General features: G+C 41.1%; 1 protein-coding gene across 7 annotated transcripts in view, besides 1 other annotated feature; it reads right to left on the minus strand.

The window, feature by feature from the left end:
- ADAMTS12 (ADAM metallopeptidase with thrombospondin type 1 motif 12) overlaps positions 1-23,048 on the minus strand; it is a 368,456-nt gene that overhangs the window by 40,516 nt on the left and 304,892 nt on the right. For 5 of the 7 annotated variants that reach the window (XM_017009905.2, XM_017009906.1, XM_017009907.1 and 2 more), the window contains 2 exons: positions 14,706-14,816; positions 12,004-13,110 (listed from right to left, as the gene is read on the minus strand). In XM_017009905.2, coding sequence (XP_016865394.1) covers positions 12,004-13,110; positions 14,706-14,816 — 1,218 coding nt within the window. The remainder of the gene's footprint in view (positions 1-12,003; positions 13,111-14,705; positions 14,817-23,048) is intronic. The other 2 variants (NM_001324512.2, NM_030955.4) reach the window with 1 other exon arrangement.
- Positions 11,993-13,192: an enhancer, noted in NCBI's record as "CDK7 strongly-dependent group 2 enhancer chr5:33576148-33577347 (GRCh37/hg19 assembly coordinates)". NCBI's record gives its function as "activates an origin of replication core promoter dependent on BRD2, BRD4, P300/CBP, MED14 and CDK7 cofactors, with strong dependence on CDK7, by STARR-seq in HCT116 cells {active_cell/tissue: HCT116}" and the evidence as "EXISTENCE:reporter gene assay evidence [ECO:0000049][PMID:35650434]".

The following is a 23,048-nucleotide window of genomic DNA, read 5'->3' on the forward strand; positions in this document are numbered from 1 at the left end:
ACACAATTAAAGGAATGTGCTGTGTCCAGTGGGGCTGTGGACAGCCTCCCACAGGCCAGAAGGCAGGAGGACATTGCAAGAGCGATTTCAGATCACACCCAAGGAACTTTAGAAATCACTTCCTGTTTTAGGGATCAGGAAAAGCTTTGTGCAAGATCAGACTCAAAGCTTGATCCTGAACAGATAGGATTTAAAAGGGCAGAGGAGAAGGGGAAGGAAATTCCAGGGAGAGGAACCAGCATGAATAGAGACACCAAACTGGGACAGGCAGGAGGTTTAAAGCAACTGAGCTGTTGAAGCTTAGCATGGATGAAGAAAAGTAGGAGGCAGTATGTTTTGAAAGCTTGATTATGTAAGCCTAGGAAGGCTGTTGGATATTGGGTTGCAGTAGATTTTATCTGAATAAGTGTGAAATGAGGAGATATCAAAGACTTATGAGCAGGAGTTTGGAATGATTAGAATAGCTTTTTGGAGGATGAATTTGGCAGTCTCATGTCTTGTGCAACAGTGTGTGGAAAAGATAGGAGAAGGGAGAGGCTGGAGGTATGTAGACCAGCAAGGATGCAAGGGCAGGTGTTCTAAGCAGGAGTGGTAACCCAGGTCCTTCACTCTCATCTATTGGGCACCATTGGCATTTGGGACTCAACAATTCTTCCTTATAAGGGACTTTCCTGAATGTCATGGGACTTTTATCATTCATGCCTCTCAGACATTCAATGCTAGTTGCCGCCCCTTCCCCACATTGTTGTAACAAACAAAAGCATCCTCCTTCATCTGTAAATTCCTCCTACCATCAGATTAGAAACCACTGGGTCTTAGACTAACAGAGGACATAAAGAGGAGAGGACAGGAATGATGAGGTGATACTGACTTGAAAAACTATTACAATTTTTTTCTTTTTTGTAGGACAGAGGCAAATTGATATCAATGGTGATTCTACGGGCTCTAAGTTGTGGTGATTGGGAGATAAGTGACTCATTACGGAGAGAGGCAATCCCAAATAAATAGCTTCAGGAATAGGCAGAAATAAAAATCAGGGACAGTGAGGAACTCAAAACTCAGAGTTTTCATTCTGAACCCTGACCCTCTCTGACAGTTATTTATTATTATTATATATTATTTTAAGACAGGGTGTCACTCTGTCACCCAGGCTGGAGTGCAGTGGCTCAAATTTGGCTCACTGCAACCTCTGCCTCCCGGATTCAAGTGTTTCTCATGCTTCAGGCTCCCGAGTAGCTGGAACTACAGGCATGCGCCACCACGTCTAATTTTTATATTTTTTTTGTAGAAAGTGTTTTGCCATGTTGGCCAGACTGGTCTCAAACTCCTGACCTCAAGTGATCCACCTGCCTCAGCCTCCCAGAGTGCTGGGATTACAGGCATGAGCCACCGCTCTGGCCTTCAGTTCTATTTATTAAACATTTTCTCTCAAAACATGCACAAAGAGAGCAGGCACCAGGCCCTGTCATGAGGGGGGACTCTTGCCAAATGTGGAGTTCTATTCTAGTAATAGTCCTTACAGCTTTGAAAACTCTAGAATCTGAGCCAATATTCTTTTTCTAGCCAAACTGCCAGGAATTAACAGCTGTTAATCGTTCCACCACTGTTGCCAGTTTTTTGTTTGTTTTTTTTTTTTTTTTTGGTGAGCTATAATGTGTTCAATAAGACCATTTATTTCTGTCAAAGTCAAATAATGATGTTTGAGATAGAATTAATTCTTTGTATCTTGATTTACTATAATCAAAACGTGTTAATTAACCTTTGAGCTCAAACAGTAATCATAGTTGATGCGTACTTCATTTTGGCTTAATTTGCGTGGATATAGTAATGGCTCGTTAAATCAATTAACATTTGTCAATTAATTAACATGTATTAAATATTCTCAAGACAAAATAATTAAAACACATTTAAATTCCATAATTCCACAACTGCTCTGGGTTTTGGTGATGAATGAAAAGTGAAGAGGATGGGGAAAAAAATGAATATCTGGGTCATCATACAACCATTTTGTTTTTAGAGACAATTTCAGTTCATAGGAGCACCACCCAGCAGACAATGAAAATTCAAATTTAACAGTTGATTCAAATTGAATAGTCAATGACAGTCAGTTCAAATGGAATAGCCAAAACCCAAATTGAATAGTGGTTCATGCCAATAATCTCAGCACTTTGGGAGGCTGAGGCAGAATTTTGCTTGAGGCCAGGAGTTCCAGACTAGCCTGGTCAACATAGCAAGACTCCCATCTCTGCAAAAAATAATAAAAAAATTATCTAGGTGCAGTGGTTGGCACCTGTTCCTATCTACTCAGGAGACTTAGGTGGGAAGACTGCTTGAGCTCAGGAGTTCAGGATTGTGATGAGCTATCATCAAACCACTGCACTCCGACCTGGGTGACAGAGTGAGACCCTGTCTCAAAAAAAGTCAATGAGTCAGTGACGGACTCCTTCTCTTCTCCTCTCTCTTCTTCATTCCCCATATCCAATTATTTACAAACCCTGATTTTAAGTTCAAATATATATTAGATATATTTTTCCCTCTTCATCCTGAATATTCTTCTTATAGTTCTCATGCCTCACCTGGACTATTGCAATAACCTCCCAATAGGTCAAAATCCTTATTGCTTCAGAATAGGCTACCTACAGTCAGTGGCAGAGAGTGCTAGATATTCACCATAATCCTTTTTCTTCTTCTGGGCACATAATTGGGTTGCATTTCCCAGCTTCCCTGAGTTTGGTTTGGCCATGAGACCTAGTTCTAGACAACGGAATGTAGGCAGAAGTGATTTGTTCCACTTCAAGGCTTGGAGCATACAACTTCCTGCAGGAGTGCCTCTATGCCCTTTTCCCTTTCTGATTGACTGGGATGGTGACCCCAGGGCAAATTTGATGATGGGAAGATGGTAGAGCCATTGTTAGCCTGGGTTCCCAAATGACTGCACCATCCTCTACCATCAGCACTGCAGACTGGAATCATCACCTTGTATTGCCTTGTGACTGAGAAGTCAACACCTCTTCTGGTGAGACATTACTTGTTGGGCTTTATTTGTTACAGAAGCCTAGCCTTCCTAATGTGTGTGAGTGTAGGCAAGTGTGATTTCTAATTACATATGCACACACACACATGTCATTCATATTTTAATGGTTCTGATATCAATCCTACATGTATGCCTTTTATCGCCTACTCTTTCATATTCTGTTTGACCTAGGCTGTCTTATTCTCATGGCCTACAGTGTCATTAATTGTAGGTGCTTTCAGACCTTATTGCCATTAACTAAATATCAAAATACAAATTAATTAGTAGCTTCCACTTCTACCACTTGTTTTCTTTGTTTTCAGTCCACAGAAGCCACACACTGTCTAAACTATGTCGACAGAAGAAGACAGTAGGCCTGCTTATCTGCCCTTTAGGGATACCATGATTTAGGAAGAAAATACATATCTTGACAGTACTGTTTGAAAGGTACTGGCAGGTGCCTCTCCCCAATGTTCCCTCCGCATCCGCATTCTGTAGGGCATGCTGAAGCACAAGTAGCTGGACTGCCTTTGGGGGAATCCGAACACTATCACTTCAAAAACACCTAAACAGATCCATTTTGTTTCAAAACATCTAGCCTGGATCCACTGTGGTAATAGAGGGACAATTTGCCCAGGTGAACTCAAAGTAACCATGAGTGGCCTCAATGTTATTTTAAATAACTTTCTTGTGAACTATGTCATTTTCTCATCTGTATACCCAAGGTCACCACATAACTGGCATTATTTTCATATGTAATATGACCAAAGAAGAAATAAATAAAATCAAAGACACAGAGGATGGTAATATTTTCTGACTTGCAGAGCCAGGGGTCATGGGTTCTGAAGTCCATCTGTCTGAGTTCAAGTCCCCGTAGCTCACAGGTATGTACGATTCTGGCCAGCTACTTAAATTCTCTCAGCTTCGGTTTCCTTGCCTCTACAATAGGGAAAATACTACCAATCTCCTGACACTGTGGTAAAGATTAAATGAGAGAATTTATGCTCATTAGCATAAAATCATGCTTGTAAAGCCTGATGCATGCTTAGGAAAGAAACTGATTAGGAAAGAAACAGGACTAAAATGTCAGGAGTCATAAGACCCATTCATCTCCTTCCTTCAACAAATTGGCTTACTGTAAGCATGAAAACCTTTTCTACCTCTGAAGCTGAATTCTTTACCTCTAAATGGAGATAAGATGACAGAAAATGTGATAACTCATTTTAGAAATCAAACATAAATCAAAGCGAAAACATAGCTCAAATGCAAGCAATTATAGTATTTGATGCAAGAAATTTTGGAGGTGGTTTGAATTTACCTATTTATTGCTTCTAGTCAATTCCATGACCAATGATGTTGATTACTTTATATAAAAGAATTTTATATAGTTAAATTGTCAATTGGTGCTAAAATCCACCAGAGAGATAGCAGATCAGAGTGGGAAGAGACAGAAGGTTCATCATCCAATTGTGTCTTCAGAGAAATCAGTTAACTGTTACAAATCTCTTTTTCTATTTGTAAGTCAGTATCAGTGAGACACTTACCTACTCATCAGGACCACGAAAAGGAAAAAATAAGAGACTATGGAGTCTGCGTGAGTGACGCAGAAGACGGGTGATTTCTGCATTTCCATCTGAGGTACCGGGTTCATCTCACTAGGGAGTGCCAGAAAGTGGGCACAGGACAGTGGGTGCAGCGCACCGTGCACCAGCCAAAGCAGGGCGAGGTATTGCCTCACTCGGGAAGCGCAAGGGGTCAGGGAGTTCCCTTTCCTGGTCAAGGAAAGGGGTGACAGATGGCACCTGGAAAATCAGGCCACTCCCACCTGAATACTGCGCTTTTCCGACGGGCTTAGGAAATGGCACACCAGGGGATTATATCCCGTACCTGCCTTGGAGGGTCCTACGCCCACGGAGTCTCGCTGATTGCTAGCACAGCAGTCTGAGATCAAACTGCAAGGCGGCAGCAAGGCTGGGGGAGGGGCACCTGCCATTGCCCAGGCTCACTTAGGTAAACAAAGCAGCCAGGAAGCTCGAACTGGGTGGAGCCCACCACAGCTCAAGGAGGCCTGCCTGCCTCTGTAGGCTCCACTTCTGGGGGCAGGGCACAGACAAACAAAAAGATAGCAGTAACCTCTGCAGACTTAAATGTCCTGGGCTGACAGCTCTGAAGAGAGCCGTCGTTCTCCCAGCACGCAGCTGGAGATCTGAGAACGGGCAGACTGCCTCCTCAAGTGGGTCCCTGACCCCTGTTCCCTGAGCAGCCTAACTGGGAGGCACCCCCCAGTAGGGGCAGACTGACACCTCACACGGTCAGGTACTCCTCTGAGACAAAACTTCCAGAGGAACGATCAGACAGCAGCATTCGTGGATCACGAAAATCCATGGTTCTGCAGACACCGCTGCTGATACCCAGGCAAACGGGTCTGGAGTGGACCTCTAGCAAGCTCCAACAGACCTGCAGCTGAGGGTCCTGTCTGTTAGAAGGAAAACTAACAAACAGAAAGGACATCCACACAAAAAACCCATCTGTACATCACCATCATCAAAGACCAAAAGTAGATAAAACCACAAAGATGGGGAAAAAACAGAGCAGAAAAACTGGAAACTCTAAAAAGCACAGTGCATCTCCTCCTCCAAAGGAATGCAGTTCCTCACCAGCAATGGAACAAAGCTGGATGGAGAATGATTTTGATGAGTTGAGAGAAGAAGGCTTCAGACGATCAAACTACTCTGAGCTACAGGAGGAAATTCAAACCAAAGGCAAAGAAGTTGAAAACTTTGAAAAAAATTTAGACGAATGTATAACTAGAATAACCAATATAGAGAAGTGCTTAAAGGAGCTGATGGAGCTGAAAGCCAAGGCTCAAGAACTACGTGAAGAATGCAGAAGCCTCAGGAGCTGATGTGATCAACTGGAAGAAAGGGTATCAGTGATGGAAGACGAAATGAATGAAATGAAGCAAGAAGGGAAGTTTAGAGAAAAAAGAATAAAAAGGAACAAACAAAGCTTCCAAGAAATATGGGACTATGTGAAAAGACCAAATCTGCCTCTGATTGGTGTACATGAAAGTGACGGGGAGAATGGAACCAAGTTGGAAAACACTCTGCAGGATATTATCCAGGAGAACTTCCCCAATCTAGCAAGGCAGGCCAACAATCAGATTCAGGAAATACAGAGAACACCACAAAGATACTCCTTGAGAAGAGCAACTCCAAGACACGTAATTGTCAGATTCACCAAAGTTGAAATGAAGGAAAAAATGTTAAGGGGAGCCAGAGAGAAAGGTCGGGTTACCCACAAAGGGAAGCCCATCAGACTAACAGTGGATCTCTCGGCAGAAACTCTACAAGCCAGAAGAGAGTGGGGGCCAATATTCAACATTCTTAAAGAAAAGAATTTTCAACCCAGAATTTCATATCCAGCCAAACTAAGCTTCATAAGTAAAGGAGAAATAAAATCCTTTACAGACAAGCAAATGCTGAGAGATTTTGTCACCACCAGGCCTGCCCTAAAAGAGCTCCTGAAGGAAGCACTAAACATGGAAAGGCACAACCGGTACCAGCTTCAGCAAAATCATGCCAAAATGTAAAGACCATCGAGATTAGGAAGAAACTGCATCAACTAACAAGCAAAATAACCAGCTAACATCATAATGACAGGATCAAATTCACACATAACAATATTAACTTTAAATGTAAATGGACTAAATGCTCCAATTAAAAGACACAGACTGGCAAATTGGATAAAGAGTCAAGACCCATCAGTGTGCTGTATTCAGGAAACCCATCTCACGTGCAGAGACACACATAGGCTCAAAATAAAAGGATGGAGGAAGATCTACCAAGCAAATGGAAAACAAAAAAGGCAGGGGTTGCAATCCTAGTCTCTGATAAAACAGACTTTAAACCAACAAAGATCAAAAGAGACAAAGAAGGCCATTACATAATGGTAAAGGGATCAATTCAACAAGAAGAGCTAACTATCCGAAATATATATGCACCCAATACAGGAGCACCCAGATTCATAAAGCTAGCCCTGAGTGACCTACAAAGAGACTTAGACTCCCACACAATAATAATGGGAGACTTTAACACCCCACTGTCAACATTAGACAGATCAACGAGACAGAAAGTTAACAAGGATACCCAGGAATTGAACTCAGCTCTGCACCAAGTGGACCTAATAGACATCTACAGAACTCTCCACCCTAAATCAACAGAATATACATTTTTTTCAGCACCACACCACACCTATTCCAAAATTGACCACATACTTGGAAGTAAAGCTCTCCTCAGCAAATGTAAAAGAACAGAAATTATAACAAACTGTCTCTCAGACCACAGTGCAATCAAACTAGAACTCAGGATTAAGAAACTCCCTCAAAACCACTCAACTACATGGAAACTGAACAACCTGCTCCCGAATGACTACTGGGTACATAACGAAATGAAGGCAGAAATAAAGATCTTCTTTGAAACCAACGAGAACAAAGACACCACATACCAGAATCTCTGGGACACATTTCAAAGCAGCGTGTAGAGGGAAATTTATAGCACTAAATGCCCACAAGAGAAAGCAGGAAAGATCCAAAATTGACACCCTAACATCACAATTAAAAGAACTAGAAAAGCAAGAGCAAACACATTCAAAAGCTAGCAGACGGCAAGAAATAACTAAAATCAGAGCAGAACTGAAGGAAATAGAGACACAAAAAACCCTTCAAAAAATTAATGAATCCAGGAGCTGGTTTTTTGAAAGGATCAACAAAATTGATAGACCGCTAGCAAGACTAATAAAGAAAAAAAGAGAGAAGAATCAAATAGACACAATAAAAAATGATACAGGGGATATCACCACTGATCCCACAGAAATATAAACTACCATCAGAGAATACTACAAACACCTCTACACAAATAAATTAGAAAATCTAGAAGAAATGGATAAATTCCTCGACACATACACTCTCCCAAGACTAAACCAGGAAGAAGTTGAATCTCTGAATAGACCAATAACAGGAGCTGAAATTGGGGCAATAATCAATAGCTTACCAACCAAAAAGAGTCCAGGACCAGATGGATTCACAGCTGAATTCTACCAGAGGTACAAGGAGGAACTGGTACCATTCCTTCTGAAACTATTCCAATCAATAGCAAAAGAGGGAATCCTCCCTAACTCATTTTATGAGGCCAGCATCATCCTGATACCAAAGCCTGGCAGAGACACAACAAAAAAAGAGAATTTTAGACCAATATCCTTGATGAACATTGATGCAAAAATCCTCAATAAAATACTGGCAAACTGAATCCAGCAGCATATCAAAAAGCTTATCCACCATGATCAAGTGGGCTTCATCCCTGGGATGCAAGGCTGGTTCAATATACGCAAATCAATAAATGTAATCCAGCATATAAACAGAACCAAAGACAAAAACCACATGACTATCTCAATAGATGCAGAAAAGGCCTTTGACAAAATTCAACAAGCCTTCATGCTAAAAACTCTCAATAAATTAGGTATTGATGGGACGTATCTCAAAATAATAAGAGCTATCTATGACAAACCCACAGCCAATATCATACTGAATGGGCAAAAACTGGAAGCATTCCCTTTGAAAACTGGCACAAGACAGGGATGCCCTCTCTCACCACTCCTATGCAACATAGTGTTGGAAGTTCTGGCCAGGGCAATTAGGCAGGAGAAGGAAACAAAGGGTATTCAATTAGGAAAAGAGGAAGTCAAATTGTCCCTGTTTGCAGACGACATGATTGTATATCTAGAAAACCCCATCGTCTCAGCCCAAAATCTCCTTAAGCTGATAAGCAACTTCAGCAAAGTCTCAGGATACAAAATCAATGTACAAAAATCACAAGCATTCTTATACACCAATAACAGACAAACAGAGAGCCAAATCATGAGTGAACTCCCATTCACAATTGCTTCAAAGAGAATAAAATACTTAGGAATCCAACTTACAAGGGACCTGAAGGACCTCTTCAAGGAGAACTACAAACCACTGCTCAATGAAATAAAACAGGATACAAAGAAATGGAAGAAGATTCCATGCTCATGGGTAGGAAGAATCAATATCGTGAAAATGGCCATACTGCCCAAGGTAATTTATAGATTCAATGCCATCCCCATCAAGCTACCAATGACTTTCTTCACAGAATTGGAAAAAACTACTTTAAAGTTCATATGGAACCAAAAAAGAGCCCACATCACCAAGTCAATCCTAAGCCAAAAGAACAAAGCCAGAGGCATCACGCTACCTGACTTCAAACTATACTACAAGGCTACAGTAATCAAAACAGCATGGTACTGGTACCAAAACAGAGACATAGATCAATGGAACAGAACAGAGCCCTCAGAAATAATGCCACGTATCTACAACTATCTGATCTTTGACAAACCTGAGAAAAACAAGCAGGAAAGGATTCCCTATTTAATAAATGGTGCTGGGAAAACTGGCTAGCCATATGTAGAAAGCTGAAACTCGATCCCTTCCTTACACCTTATACAAAAATTAATTCAAGATGGATTAAAGACTTACATGTTAGACCTAAAACCATAAAAACCCTAGAAGAAAACCTAGGCATTACCATTCAGGACATAGGCATGGGCAAGGACTTCATGTCTAAAATACCAAAAGCAATGGCAACAAAAGCCAAAATTGACAAATGGGATCTCATTAAACTAAAGAGCTTCTGCACAGCAAAAGAAACTACCAACAGAGTGAACAGGCAACCTACAAAATGGGAGAAAATGTTCGCAACCTACTCATCTGACAAAGGGCTAATATCCAGAATCTACAATGAACTCAAACAAATTTACAAGAAAAAAACAAACAACCCCATCGAAAAGTGGGCAAAGGATATGAGCAGATACTTCTCAAAAGAAGACATTTATGCAGCCAAAAGACACATGAAAAAATGCTCATCATCACTGGCCATCAGACAAATGCAAATCAAAACCACAATGAGATACCATCTCACACCAGTTAGAATGGCAATCATTAAAAAGTCAGGAAACAACAGGTGCTGGAGAGGATGTGGAGAAATAGGAACACTTTTACACTGTTGGTGGGACTGTAAACTAGTTCAACCATTGTGGAAGTCAGTGTGGCGATTCCTCAGGGATCTAGAACTAGAAATACCATTTGACCCAGCAATCCCATTACTGGGTATATACCCAAAGGACTATAAATCATGCTGCTATAAAGACACATGCACACGTATGTTTAGTGCGGCACTATTCACAATAGCAAAGACTTGGAACCAACCCAAATGTCCAACAATGATAGATCGGATTAAGAAAATGTGGCACATATACACCATGGAATACTACGCAGTCATAAAAAATGATGAGTTCATGTCCTTTGTAGGGACATGGATGAAATTGGAAATCATCATTATCAGTAAACTATCACAAGGACAAAAAACCAAACACCGCATGTTCTCACTCATAGATGGGAATTGAACAATGAGAATACATGGACACAGGAAGGGGAACATCACACTCTGGGGACTGTTGTGGGGTGGGGGGAGGGCGGAGGGATAGCATTAGGAGATACACTTAATGCTAAACGACGAATTAATGGGTGCAGCACACCAGCATGTCACATGTATACATATGTAACAAACATGCACATTGTGCACATGTACCCTAAAACTTAAAAGTATAATAATAATAGAAAAAATGAGACTACCTATGAAAGTGGTTTGTAAATTACATACTTTATAAATTGTTATACTCAAATTGTTATTTTTATATTAGCTGCTAATAGTTTACTTCACTTTAACTGGCGAGATGAGTCATGAAATGTCAAAAATGCTGAATGATTTGAACATGTGATTACTTTGCTGCAAAATCCTCTTTTGCATTGTTACATTATATTAACAAGTTTGTATACTGCATATTCAGATTTCAAATAGGTGAGAAATGATTTTGATGCTTCAAAGGATGTAATTGGTTCTAGAAATGAAAAGACAAATACCTAGCCAAATTTCTGGAGCATGAAAATAGGGGCCAGCATGATGTCATCATGCTTATTTTCTTCTTCCTCTATATTCTAATTCTTTCAATAAGCCAAAATGAATTTTTTAAATGCAAGCACTCAAACAAACCAAAAAGAAAAGAAAAAAAATCACTGATATGGCGAGCTATACAATTGTTTTAACAAGTTTTGTCTTAGGTTTCCGTTCCATCTGTGATTACTTCACAATTTTAAACCAAGTCTCAAAACTAGGTTTTTGAGAAATGTGAATCAGGCCTTTTCAGTCATCCTTCATCATAGGATCATTGTAGTTTATAGCTGAAAGGGACATTAGAGATAATCTACACTTGCCTTATCATTCTGTAGGCCAAAAAAAAGGCTCAGAAAGATAGATGAATTCGACATAATCACACAGCCGAATGCCCAGGCTTCCTAGCTTAGTTCAGGGTACTTTTCACTATATCTCACTACATTTGTTCTCCTTCCCTATATATAAATTTTTAGCTTCCCTTTCCAATGACATTTTAAGTCAACCACCAAACAGTTGGCACTTGAACATAGACCACCCAGGGGTCTTCACTGGTCAGTTTACCTTTCTCTGTCTTGTATCCCTGATCTCAAAACAGGTTTCTTAAGGATGGGGACTGCATAATGATTTCAAAGGGCTGCACAGACATTATTCTGTGTGATATACACAACATCCTTCAGAATTGTACACGGCAGGAACTCTCATTTGGTTGGGTCAGGTAGAATCAGATTAAAAGCTAGACAATATATCTATACAATTTCACAAGTTATATAATTTACATAATTTTTTTTCCATTTAAAGAGTTATGGGGGTAAGGAGGGAGGGGAGGGCATGGGTCTGATTGCTTCCTTTTGTTTTCACAATAGAATATATTTTAATGCAAACTCATTTTGAAATTTTCACATGAATTTAACACTCCTAGCTTTTTTCCATGTAAAACCAGGCCAGGGGTAGGAAATGTCTTACCTCGCTCCAGTTTCCGACGATCCAGTGTGCAGAGCCGTGGCCGTTTGTGAGCTGCTTGTAATTGGAGGCATTTAGCAAAAAGCCCTCAGTAATCAGACTTGTTGCATCCTCCTCAGTCAGGACTGGTTCAGAACTTTTTGTTTGGTTCATGTTGTTTGGAAGTTTCAGGTGGTTACGGTTTGCCGTCTTTCCTGAGGGTTCTGGCTGGTGGTCTCCTCCCAGAGGGAGCAGAGTGTTGGCTGGCTTTTCAGTAACCATCCCCTCAACTCTGGGTGTCCCAGTTTCGGAAGTAGTGGGCCTTTGGCTGGGGAGCAGTCCTTCCATTACTGTGCTGAAGGGTGGCCACCAGGACTCCCTGCTGAGATCTGGTGTTAGTGGAGGTGCAAGTGGCATTTCTGTACTTTCCACTGGAGCGTCATTTCCAGGTACTCTGATCTTGGTCCATATTACAGGATTGCTTTCATCTTTGTCCTCAGGCTGTTCTCTTTCTTCCCCTGAGCCACTGTGAATCTCCATTTCTGGACCTTTGGTCAAGGTATTGTAAAATGGAGTCACAGGCCAAGTGATAGGGTTGCGGGAAGATGACAAGCCAGAACCACTTGTTGTTGTAGCTACAAGGCCTCCCTCCGAGGTAGGACCAGTATCTGAACTGGAAACATTTTCCTCACTTGGCTGAATGCTCAAGGATTGGGAAGTGAGGATGGGCTGGGAAGTGCTTCCAGTGGAAATGAGATAGCGAGAGCTCAGCTCAGGTTGGGTTGAGCTATCTTGCCACTGTTTCCCACCCAGGTCTCCTTCTTTGGAGGCTGTGGTAGGACTAGGGCTGCTGATTGCTGGAGTGCTTGTGCTCATAGACTCAGGCCCTGTGGGTGTGGTCAGCATTCTGGGCCTGGATGTAGGTGGAGGGACGGGCTTTAGTGTTGGTGGGTTTTTTCCATTGGAAATAGTGCCTTTGTTTGGTTTCAGAACTCTCCGGCTAGAAGGGCATTGCTGGAGGCCACACAGAGCTCGGCTGTTGGGTTTCCTTGTCACATCGCAAGGTTCATCATGGTTCTTGGCACATGTGACACTGCGAATCCGCACTCCACCACCACAGGAAACAGAACACTAGAAGAGAGAAACAGCTGTTAGCCTGGCGAGAGAAGATGCTTTTATTCTCATGGTTAGGTCTATAACAGATCAAAACAGGCCTGATGGAAACTAAACTATGCAGCTAAAATTGTCTGCTATCTACATTTGGTTTCTGTGCTCTTTCAGTTTTCCATGGAAATATGTATCTCCTGGAGACCAGCTGGGACTCAGTCTCAACCATTTATTCTTCACAAACTGAAAATGTAAACCATGATGTAGTCAAACTGCAGTCCCTTTGGGCTGTGAATCATGGATGGCGGGATCCACAATGAATGCAATGGTTTACACAAGTTGCTAAATCTTTTAAAGAGCTAGTAAGTCACACTGTCTCTTTTCTGGGATTGTGATTTTATTAAATTAATGTATAATGTGTGCATATTCTCTGGAATATGAAATTCGGTATAAGGAACCTTTCCCTTTCTATTTAGAAAGCAACTATCATAACTCACACATTTTCCCCAGGTACCTTAAGCTCCATTTTCACTTGCCTATGGCAGGTGGAATCAGATTAAAAGCTAGATAATCACCATACTCACACAGGTGCATAGATCCAAGACCTACTCTAAAATTTAAAGGTACATAGTTAATCAAAGGTAGGAAATAGCCTTTCCCAAGGAGTTCGGTCAATCCCTCAGCATGGCACTGAGGTATATATTCGGGTACTGGTAAGTGCCCCTCCCCAATGTTCCCTCCACATTCTGTATGCCATGCTGAAGCCCAAGCAGCTAGACTGCCTTTGGGGGAATCCTAACAGAACAGGCCTTCCTCAGGATACATGGTAAAGAATCTTCATTGCATCAATTTCAACACCTGTGAATGGCAGATATGGAGTTGCTATAAAACACTAAATGTCTAAATATTTTGAAAAATCCGTACTTTTACCAAATGGTTCCATTTTTAGCTTCTCTTTCCAATGGCATTTGAAGTCAACCACCAAATAGTTGGCACTTGAGCACAGACCACCCAGGGGTCTTCACTGGTCATTTTACATTTCTCTGTCAGGTATCCCTGACCTCAAAGCACATTTCTTAAGGATGGGGACTGCATAATGATTTCAAAGGGCTGCGCAAACATTATTCTGTGTGATATACATGACGTCCCTATGAGATGTACAAGGCAGGAACTGTTATTCTGCCTCCCACAAGTGAGGAGCCTGAGGCCCAGGAACTCACTTGAAAGGCGGCAAGTCAGTCATAGAATAAGCATTAGATTTATTTTTACCCCCATCCCCAAACCTAGTGCAACACACTGTACAAGTAGCTGTCCATGGAGTTCACTCAGTGACTTTTGATTTATTAAAAGCTATCCAAAGGCAGGAACTGTTTTTTATTCATAATGGAATTCCAGGATAGTTCTGAGGACACAGTGATCACCTTATACATATTAATTAAGTGACTCTTTTACCTGGAAAAAAAAATCAGGAATGGAAAAATTCTCACTCATGAGCTTCTGCATTTAGATTAAGTTCCTTGCCTTCTCAAGTTCTATTTTCAGTTTTCTCTAAGTAGGAACATAATATTGACATAGAAAACTTCTCCTTTATTTTGTTTCAATCAAACATAATCACTTACTGATGTAAAACAGCTCTGTGAAATCAGCTCTTTTGAAAAGCAGATGCTGTGAGCACAGGAGAATGTACAGCTGAAGGAGTGTCGAACTGTGTTTGGACCCAACCAGTGAAGCTGTGGATTTAAGATGTCCACAAAATATTAAAGCAAGTCACTCCAAGATGGAACTTCCAGATTTGTTTTGAAATAATAATAATAATAATTTGGGCGGAAATGATGCTTAATGCACAATCATTTCCCACCAAAGTGGGGGCTACCAACTGCAAGTGTCAGAGCCCAACAGGGAGGAAACAGTCTCTTCTGGCATGGTCCATGACTCACTTCTCCCTGGACCTAGAAAGGGAAGGCAGGAGGTATTTATCTTCCTGGTTTGCTGCACTGTTTCTTCCCTTCTTGTGTAGGAAGATACTCTGTGCTCCATCTATTTTAGTCACGCTGAGTCCCTCTCCATTTATTACATTCTAATCTGAACTTCTTGGATTTTCAAATCCCCACTTTGTAAAACTGATCAGTTTTGTATGTGTGAACACATTTCCATGCTGGCTGCCTCAGGCAGGCTCAGTCTTGAGAGCTGACTGATAACTGAGGTCCCAGCTACTGCCAACTCTTCTCAGGCAACAGGTGGCTCTCTTTCGGCTTTCCTTTCCATGAAGTATTAGACTAGATAGTAACATAATAGGAAACGCTTCTATTTTTATTTTCTTTCTCTTCTTTCTCTTTTTCTTTTTGGTTTGTTTTGACTTGAAATGTTGCTAATATCTCTAAAGAAGTTAGCTTTACTTGTACACTTTTACAAAAAAATTTTAAATGCCAAAGTATAGGATCATATCCCCTCCACCTCCCCATTGAACTATGAAGTCAAAAAACTATAAAACCTCTGAGAAATAGCTTAAATTCCCTGATGTATCATATTAACTCCTTGTGTGATTCGGTGACTAAGTCAGCTTCCTCACCTGGAAACAGAGACAGCAGCACCTACCTTTGCAGGCTACTGTGTGGATTACCTTCAACAACAGGCTTAACAGAGGTGGCATAACATATGAAGACAATTAGTGATTGAAAGCTATTATTATCACTGTTCTAATAATGATGCTGATAATAATAATAGTGATCATAACAAAAGGCTTGGGGTTCCCCAATTTCTACTGCCCTTGTGGGTGACACACAGAATTGTCTCAACAGGGAGGTGTGACGTGAGCAGCTGTCTTGGTGAGGTAGGTGCAGGCACATGTCTACAAGATACTGTGGAGATCCACACACCCCCTACTGGTTTACTGCTGGATGTTTTTAGATTCAGATTTCCTAGAGCCAACCGATGGATATGTGGTTTTCAAATTTACCAATAACAAGAACTAAGTAATCTTACTGATGGTGTGAATTTGCTCAACCTAAAAGGGTAAGGCAGGAGTGAAGAAAAGCTACTGTATTAGTTTGTTTTCATGCTGCTATAAAGAAATACCAGACAGGGAAATTTATGAAGGAAAGCAGTTTAATTGACTCACAGTTCTGCATGGGTGGGGAGGCCTCAGGAAACTTACAATCATGGTGGAAGGGGAAGCAGACACATCCTTCTTCACATGGCGGCAGGAGAGACAAGTGCAGACTGAAGTGGGGAAAGCCCCTGATAAAACCCTCAGATCTCATGGGAACTCACTGTCACAAGAACAGCACGGGGGAACAGCTCCCATGATCTAATCATTCCCCATGAGTTCCCTCCCTCAACACATGGGGATTACAATTTGGATTACCATTCAAGATGAGATTTGGGTGGGGACACACAGCCAGACCATTTCAGCTACCTAGCTGGTTGCTGAGTTAAAATACATTAGATTTTAATATTTTAAAACAGAAGATGGTTCTTGAAGAGGAGTTCCAAAGTAGCAGCCTAACAGCTACATTTGGCCCACTGACATGTATTCTTTAGCCTGCTCAATCTTAAAACCCACCAACCTACCAACCAACCAACAAGCAAAACACAAAAACCAAAATAGTAGCCAACATTTTAAAAATTAGCAATTTTATGTTAATAAAATTCCTGATTTTTGACTTCTCTTGGAAAAGCTGATGATCTGCATCTATTGCTCTCATTCCCAAATAGCAACCCAAAACCTGATTAATGAAGACCTGGGGTCTGGGAGTTTATACGTCCCTCAGTGCACCAACCTTCCATCCACATCTACTTTCCTTAGCCAGCAGACATCGAATCTTCCAAATAACCCAGGATTGCCATTCCTTAGTTCTGGGGCACACTATGCCCAGCTGGACAGTATTAGCTGTCTACCAAGCATATTGGGCCTGAATACGAACTTGCCTTTTCTCCTAGTCACTGCAGAACAGGCAGTGCTGCTTTGTATTCAGCTCCACGCTTCTTCTAGTACATCTTCCAACGTGTTTATCTCCTTAGGAGCTGTCAAGCCCTTCAGATGAGATAAATGCAGTACACAACGCCACACTCCAAACCTATCTCAATTGGTAGTTTCAGAATTCTCTAAACCAACTTCAGCTATGATTATCGTATGCCCTTTCCTTGTAATTTTGAACCCTGGACCAGGAAAGCAGCATGTCAACCTGTTAACCTGCTCTTTGGGAGTCATTTTGCCCTCACTTATCACCATCCTGGATACAGGCCTCTTGTCGGGGAACCCACTGAGAAAGAGGTTTGCTGCCCAATTTATCAACTCCACCCACCTGTGGTCCACTGTGGTGGGTGAAAAGGCTCACAATTGGCACTGAGCTGTAGTGCTGAGAAAGGGTTTATTCGAAAACACAGTCGGAGTTTATCAGAGGGTTTGGGCTAAAGGGCTGAGTAGAGAAACAGTGAATACTTTGGGCATTAAAACATTTAATGCACAATCTCAGAAATTTATAAATGAATAATTAGATCTCATACAAACACCAGCTTTGAAAGCAAGCTAAAACACATAGGTATCTGTTTTGGGTTGAATTGTGTCCCTCTCAAAAAAGATATGTCAAAATCCCAATGCCCCCAATCTCAGAATTTGACCTTATTTGGAGAAAGGATCTTTAAAAAGGTAATCAAGTTACAATAAGGTCATTAGGGTGGGCCCTAATGGTATCCACATCAAAAGGGGAATCTGAACACAGAGATCACAGGCAGGTAGAATGTCATGTGAAGATGAAGGCAGAGATTGGAGTGATGCATTTACAAGCCAATGAGCACCAAAGATTGACGTCAAACCACCAGAAGCTGGGGGAAAGGCGTGGAACAATTCATCCTCCCAGCTTTCAGAAGGAATTCACTTTGCCAACACCTTGACCTTGGATTTGTAGCTTCTGCACATGTGAGACAACAAATTCCTGTTGTTTAATCTGCCCAGTTTGTGGTACTTCATTAGGGCAGCCCTCGGGAGCTAAGATAATAAAAAAAAATCAGACCTAGATAATTAAAACAAATCAGACCTGAGGAGGACAATCAACATAGCTCTCAGCTGGTTTTCTGTGAGTAGTTGTTGCAAACAGAGGTGCCCATATCTGTTCCCCAGGAACCCTGGCAGAGCACAGGCTACTGATGCCTGGGAAGAACTGAGATGTTGATGAATGACACTCCACACCAAAAGAGGGAGTGACAAGGTCAGAACATCAGGTGGCCAGCCCCACAGGAGTGCCTGGGACTGGGGAATCCAGAGGGTCAGCGACTCTCAAAAATGCCCCTATCCCTCCATGCTCTCTTCCCTCGGGTGGCAGGGACTTCACATGAGTCTAGCTTTGCTTCCCACTTAGCAATAGACATAGCATTGCCATTTGCTGCCACGTCTTCTATCCCAAGAGCCAGAGAGCTCATTTGTGAACATCGGCATTCGGTCTATTTGGTCACTCTGCATTCCAACACCCCTGTGATGAGCTTTGTACTTTATCGATTCTCAGTACCTTGGTTAAGTGAATGTTTTGTTTGTGTGTTTTTGTCAGGCGCAGGAAGGGCCAGTTAAAGATCTTCCTAGACTCTGTGTGTGTCTGCTTTTAGAGCCTCCACCTCATGTCCCATCAAATATATTCAAATGCATTTCTTGTCTCAAGTGAAACGTAACTTTTGCTATAAAAAACATTTGAAATTATTTTTTTCCATTCCAGTTTTAAAAAATGTTTATGGGTACATAGTAGGTGTATATATTTATGGGGTACATGAGATGTTTTGAAACAGGCATGCAATGTGAAATAAGCACGTCATAGAGAATGGGGTATCCACCCTCTCAAGCTTTTATCCTTCGAGTTACAAACAATCTAATTATACTCTTTAAGTTATTTTAAAATGTGTAATTAAGTTATTATTGACTATAGTCACCTCATTGTACTATCAAATAGTAGGTCTTATTCATTCTTTCTATTTTTTTTTTGTACCCATTAATCATCCCCACCTTCCCTGCAAACTCTCGCTACTGTTTCTAGCCTCTAGTAACTATCCTTCTACTCTCTATGTCCATAAGTTCAATTGTTTTGATTTTTAGAGCCCTAAAATAAGTTAGAACATGCAATGTTTCCCTTTCTGTGCCTGGCTTATTTCACTTCACATAATGATCTCCAGTTTATCCACGTTGTTGCAAATGACTGAATCTCATTCATTCCTATGGCTGAATAGTACTCCACCATGCATATGCACCACATTTTCTTTATCTAGTCGTCTGTTGAGGGACACTTGGGTTGCTTCCAAATCTTAGCTATTGCAAACAGCGCTGCAACAAACATAGGAGTGCAGATATCCCTTTGATAGACTGGTTTCCTTTCTTTTTGGTATATACCCAGCAGTGGGATTGCTGGATCACGTGATAGCTTAACTTTTACGTTTTTGAGGAACCTCCAAACTGCTCTCCACAGTGGTTAAACTATTTACATTCCTACCAACAGTGTACGAGGGTTCCCTTTTCTCCACATCCTCACCAGCATTTGCTTTTGCCGTCTTTTGGATGTAAGCCATTTTAACTGGAATAAAAGTTGTATCTCATTATAGTTTTGATTTGCATTTCTCTGATGATCAACGATATTGAGCACCTTTTCATATGCCTGCTTGCCATTAGTATGCCTTCTTTTGAGAAATGTCTATTGAAATCTTTTGTGAAAGGCTTTATTTTTTTCCTGCGCTTTTGAAGTTATTCACTGAGGGTAACATTTAATTTTGGGGAGGCTCTGATTTCTCAGCAATTGTCATGCATAGTCTGAAATTCCAACAGAATGAGAAAAGCCAGTCTACAAATAATTTCCAAACACAAAACATTTCTTATGAATACTAAGAGCTGTCATATTGCTACACTTTGCAGATATTTGAGATGCAGTATGGCAAAGTGTACATTCAGAGTAGACGCTGTGCTGCCTGCGTTCAAATCCTGGCTCCGTGGTTTAGTGGTTATGTGACCTTGGACAAATTTCTAAATGTTTCTATGCCTCAGTTTCTTCACTTGTATTAATAAAATGGGGCTAAATAAGTCATGGTGAAGATTAAATGTGCTAATACCCATAAAAGTACTTAATAGATACATACATAATACATAGTAATAATACATACAAAATGCTTGGTATGTATTTCCTATTAATATGTAATTAAATATTGATTTCTGATTTTGCAGGGTCCTTTTGTTTTTATAGATGCAATGCATGAGGTTTTTTTTTTCAGGTCTCAAATGTTGTGCAGGCCCTTGAAAAATCTGTAGGCCCCAAGCACTGCGCTTATAGTGTTTCATGCATAAAATGAATGAGCTCCCTGAGCTCAAGGAGAGGATAGGTGAAAACTTAAGGGGCCACAAATCAGTTCCTTCAGCACATTTGGGTACGACTGATTGAACAAGGTTTGCAAAATCAGAGTAGCATGGAAAACAGACTTTTGTCTTCTTGTCTGATAATAATTTAGTGAACACTTACTTTTTACCAGGCACTACGCTAAGTGTTTGCATGAATTATCTTATTCAATTCTTACAATAATCCTATCTTTCTCAGTGACAACAGGCTAAGAGAGAATTAGCACTGGCTCAAGGCCACACAATTAGATTGCCAGGGCTGGAAAACCTAGAAAAATTACCACCTATCATTACTATTAGTCTAATTACTAGGAGAAATAACATGTTGGTTCATAATTGAGCAAACTGAGGTCCTATAAGGAAAAATCATTTTCCTAAGACTGTTCAATATGCAATACAAGTTTATGCAATACAAGTTTATGCAATACAAGGCCAGAACTAAGATGGTTTCTCCATGATCTCAGCCAGGACTCTTCCCACTTCCCTTTCTGCCAAGGATGCACTAGTCAAACATTTATTAAGTACATGGTGGTTATCCATGTATCCATCCATCCATCCATCCATCCATCCATCCATCCATCCATCCCTCCAAGGAAAAAGATGGCATAGGTTTTTACAAAGTATCTGACTAAACCATTGGAGCCATGATTAAAAATCTCATATAATTTTGGCAATTTATTTTAAAGCTCTCATTGGGGGTACCAGGGGTGTCTCTTGAAGAAGAGGTACCCTTCCATCTATCAAAAAGAAAGAATTATGGAACCCACTGGGCTGCCCTTATTGCCCTGGTTGTCTGGATGCACTGGGTTAAACTGAAAGCTTCATCAAAATAACCCTATTATTCTCATGTTTATCATGTTGCTCTCTGCTCCCACGTGTGGCTACAACTTCTAGTTCACCACTTCAATGTCTAGAGCCCTTTTATTGTAAACTGCCTGAAATGCCTTTGGAAAGGAAAACTGTATAAACAAACACACACATCCTGGCTTCTGGAGTGTCCTGTTTGCCACACATACACATTTGAACCCAGGAAGCCATGCTCTAGGGGCTGTGCCCTTCACTACTAGACTGGCTGCCTCTCACAAGGCATGTCCCTGAAATGGTGTATCTGGGAAGTAAGGGAGTCACAGTAACTTTGATACCTGGTCTCTGTTTACAATAGAGTTCCCTTCTTTACCCTTTAAGTCCACAAAGTAGGATGGGCAAAACCAGGATAAGATTCTTGGTAAAACCTGAGATTGGAGGTGAGAGTCAGGTATCTAGAACATAAGCTTAGAGAAAAGGGGCTGGTCACAGGGGGCAGGAAAGCCTGTCTGGGGCAGCAGGGGAGAGAGCTCCCCTTTCTGATCCCTGCTGGGACAGGGATGAGTGTACCAACCTGGCACGGCTGAGCCCACTCTCTCCTCACTGCTTGAGTTGGTGGAGTGCTTTGATAAGGAAAGGAGCTCATGAATGTACTTCCTCTTTCTTCTCACTTAGTTCAGCCCAGAGAAGGCCATTTTACAGGAGTCTAGAAGGCTGTCAGTTCTTGGGCCTTTTGGATAAGTAACTTTACAGTTTTAGACCATCCAGGGTGATGAAAATGACAAATGCAGATGAAAATGACACAGTGCAGACCAAATGATGGCTGGAGCACTATCCTGCTTCAAATGATGTTGGTCTCCAGACAAAATCTAGATAATAAATACTGCCTGCCAAGAATCACTATGTCACCTCTCTTTAAAAAAAGTATCTGGGCATAGTTAGAATGTCAAAGACATTTCATCATACTCCAGCAAAGTTCATTAGGAGGTTATTAGTAAGAGAGCAGATAGAAGAAAGGAAGACCCATTTGATGAATATTTTGATACTGATTTAACTAAAAGCACTTCCAATGACATCTTCTGAATGAGGGCATTGGCCCAGCCTTTCTGCTCAGCTCTGTCAAGTGGAAGCTAGAAACTGTCCATGTGTGGTCCATTGACTATGCAATGGCCTACATATGGAATCACAGACCCAAGTGCTTCTTACATCATGCCAACTTTTTGGTCTCTTGTTCTCCAGTTAAGACAGGTTACTACGCTTCCCATAAACGTGAACACATTAAGAAGAACTCCTCAGCCAAATCTGTAATTGCAGTCCTCTGAAAAAGCATTAAGATGTTGGCAATTAGTAAATTCTACATGACAAGAATTATTAACAGTTTTGGATGCGGCCAACACATTTTTGGTAAACAGATTTAATAGGCCAGTCACAATACTCCATTCAGCCTTATTTTGACAACACTGTAATTCACAGAAACCTAGGTTGCAGTGGACTAATAAGGCAGGCCAACCAAATGCCGTGATTATACTCTCCCAGGAATAGCAAAAAGAATGTATGGCTTATCACTGATGTGTGTACATACATCTGTGCATGAATCAGTAATACACCCATATTTGTATGTAGGTATATTTCTTTGCATGCATATCTTTATCCTTCCTTTCCTTTTTTCTTTTTCTTTTCTGGATCCCATCTCTCCCACTGGATGGAAGTTCTTACCATCTAGGGACCATATTTTCTGTTTCTTTTTTTTTTTTTAATTTCACCTAGATGCCCAAGAGAACATCCTGTACAGATTCAG

Source organism: Homo sapiens, chromosome 5, assembly GCF_000001405.40.
Source record: "Homo sapiens chromosome 5, GRCh38.p14 Primary Assembly".
NCBI lineage: Eukaryota > Metazoa > Chordata > Mammalia > Primates > Hominidae > Homo > Homo sapiens.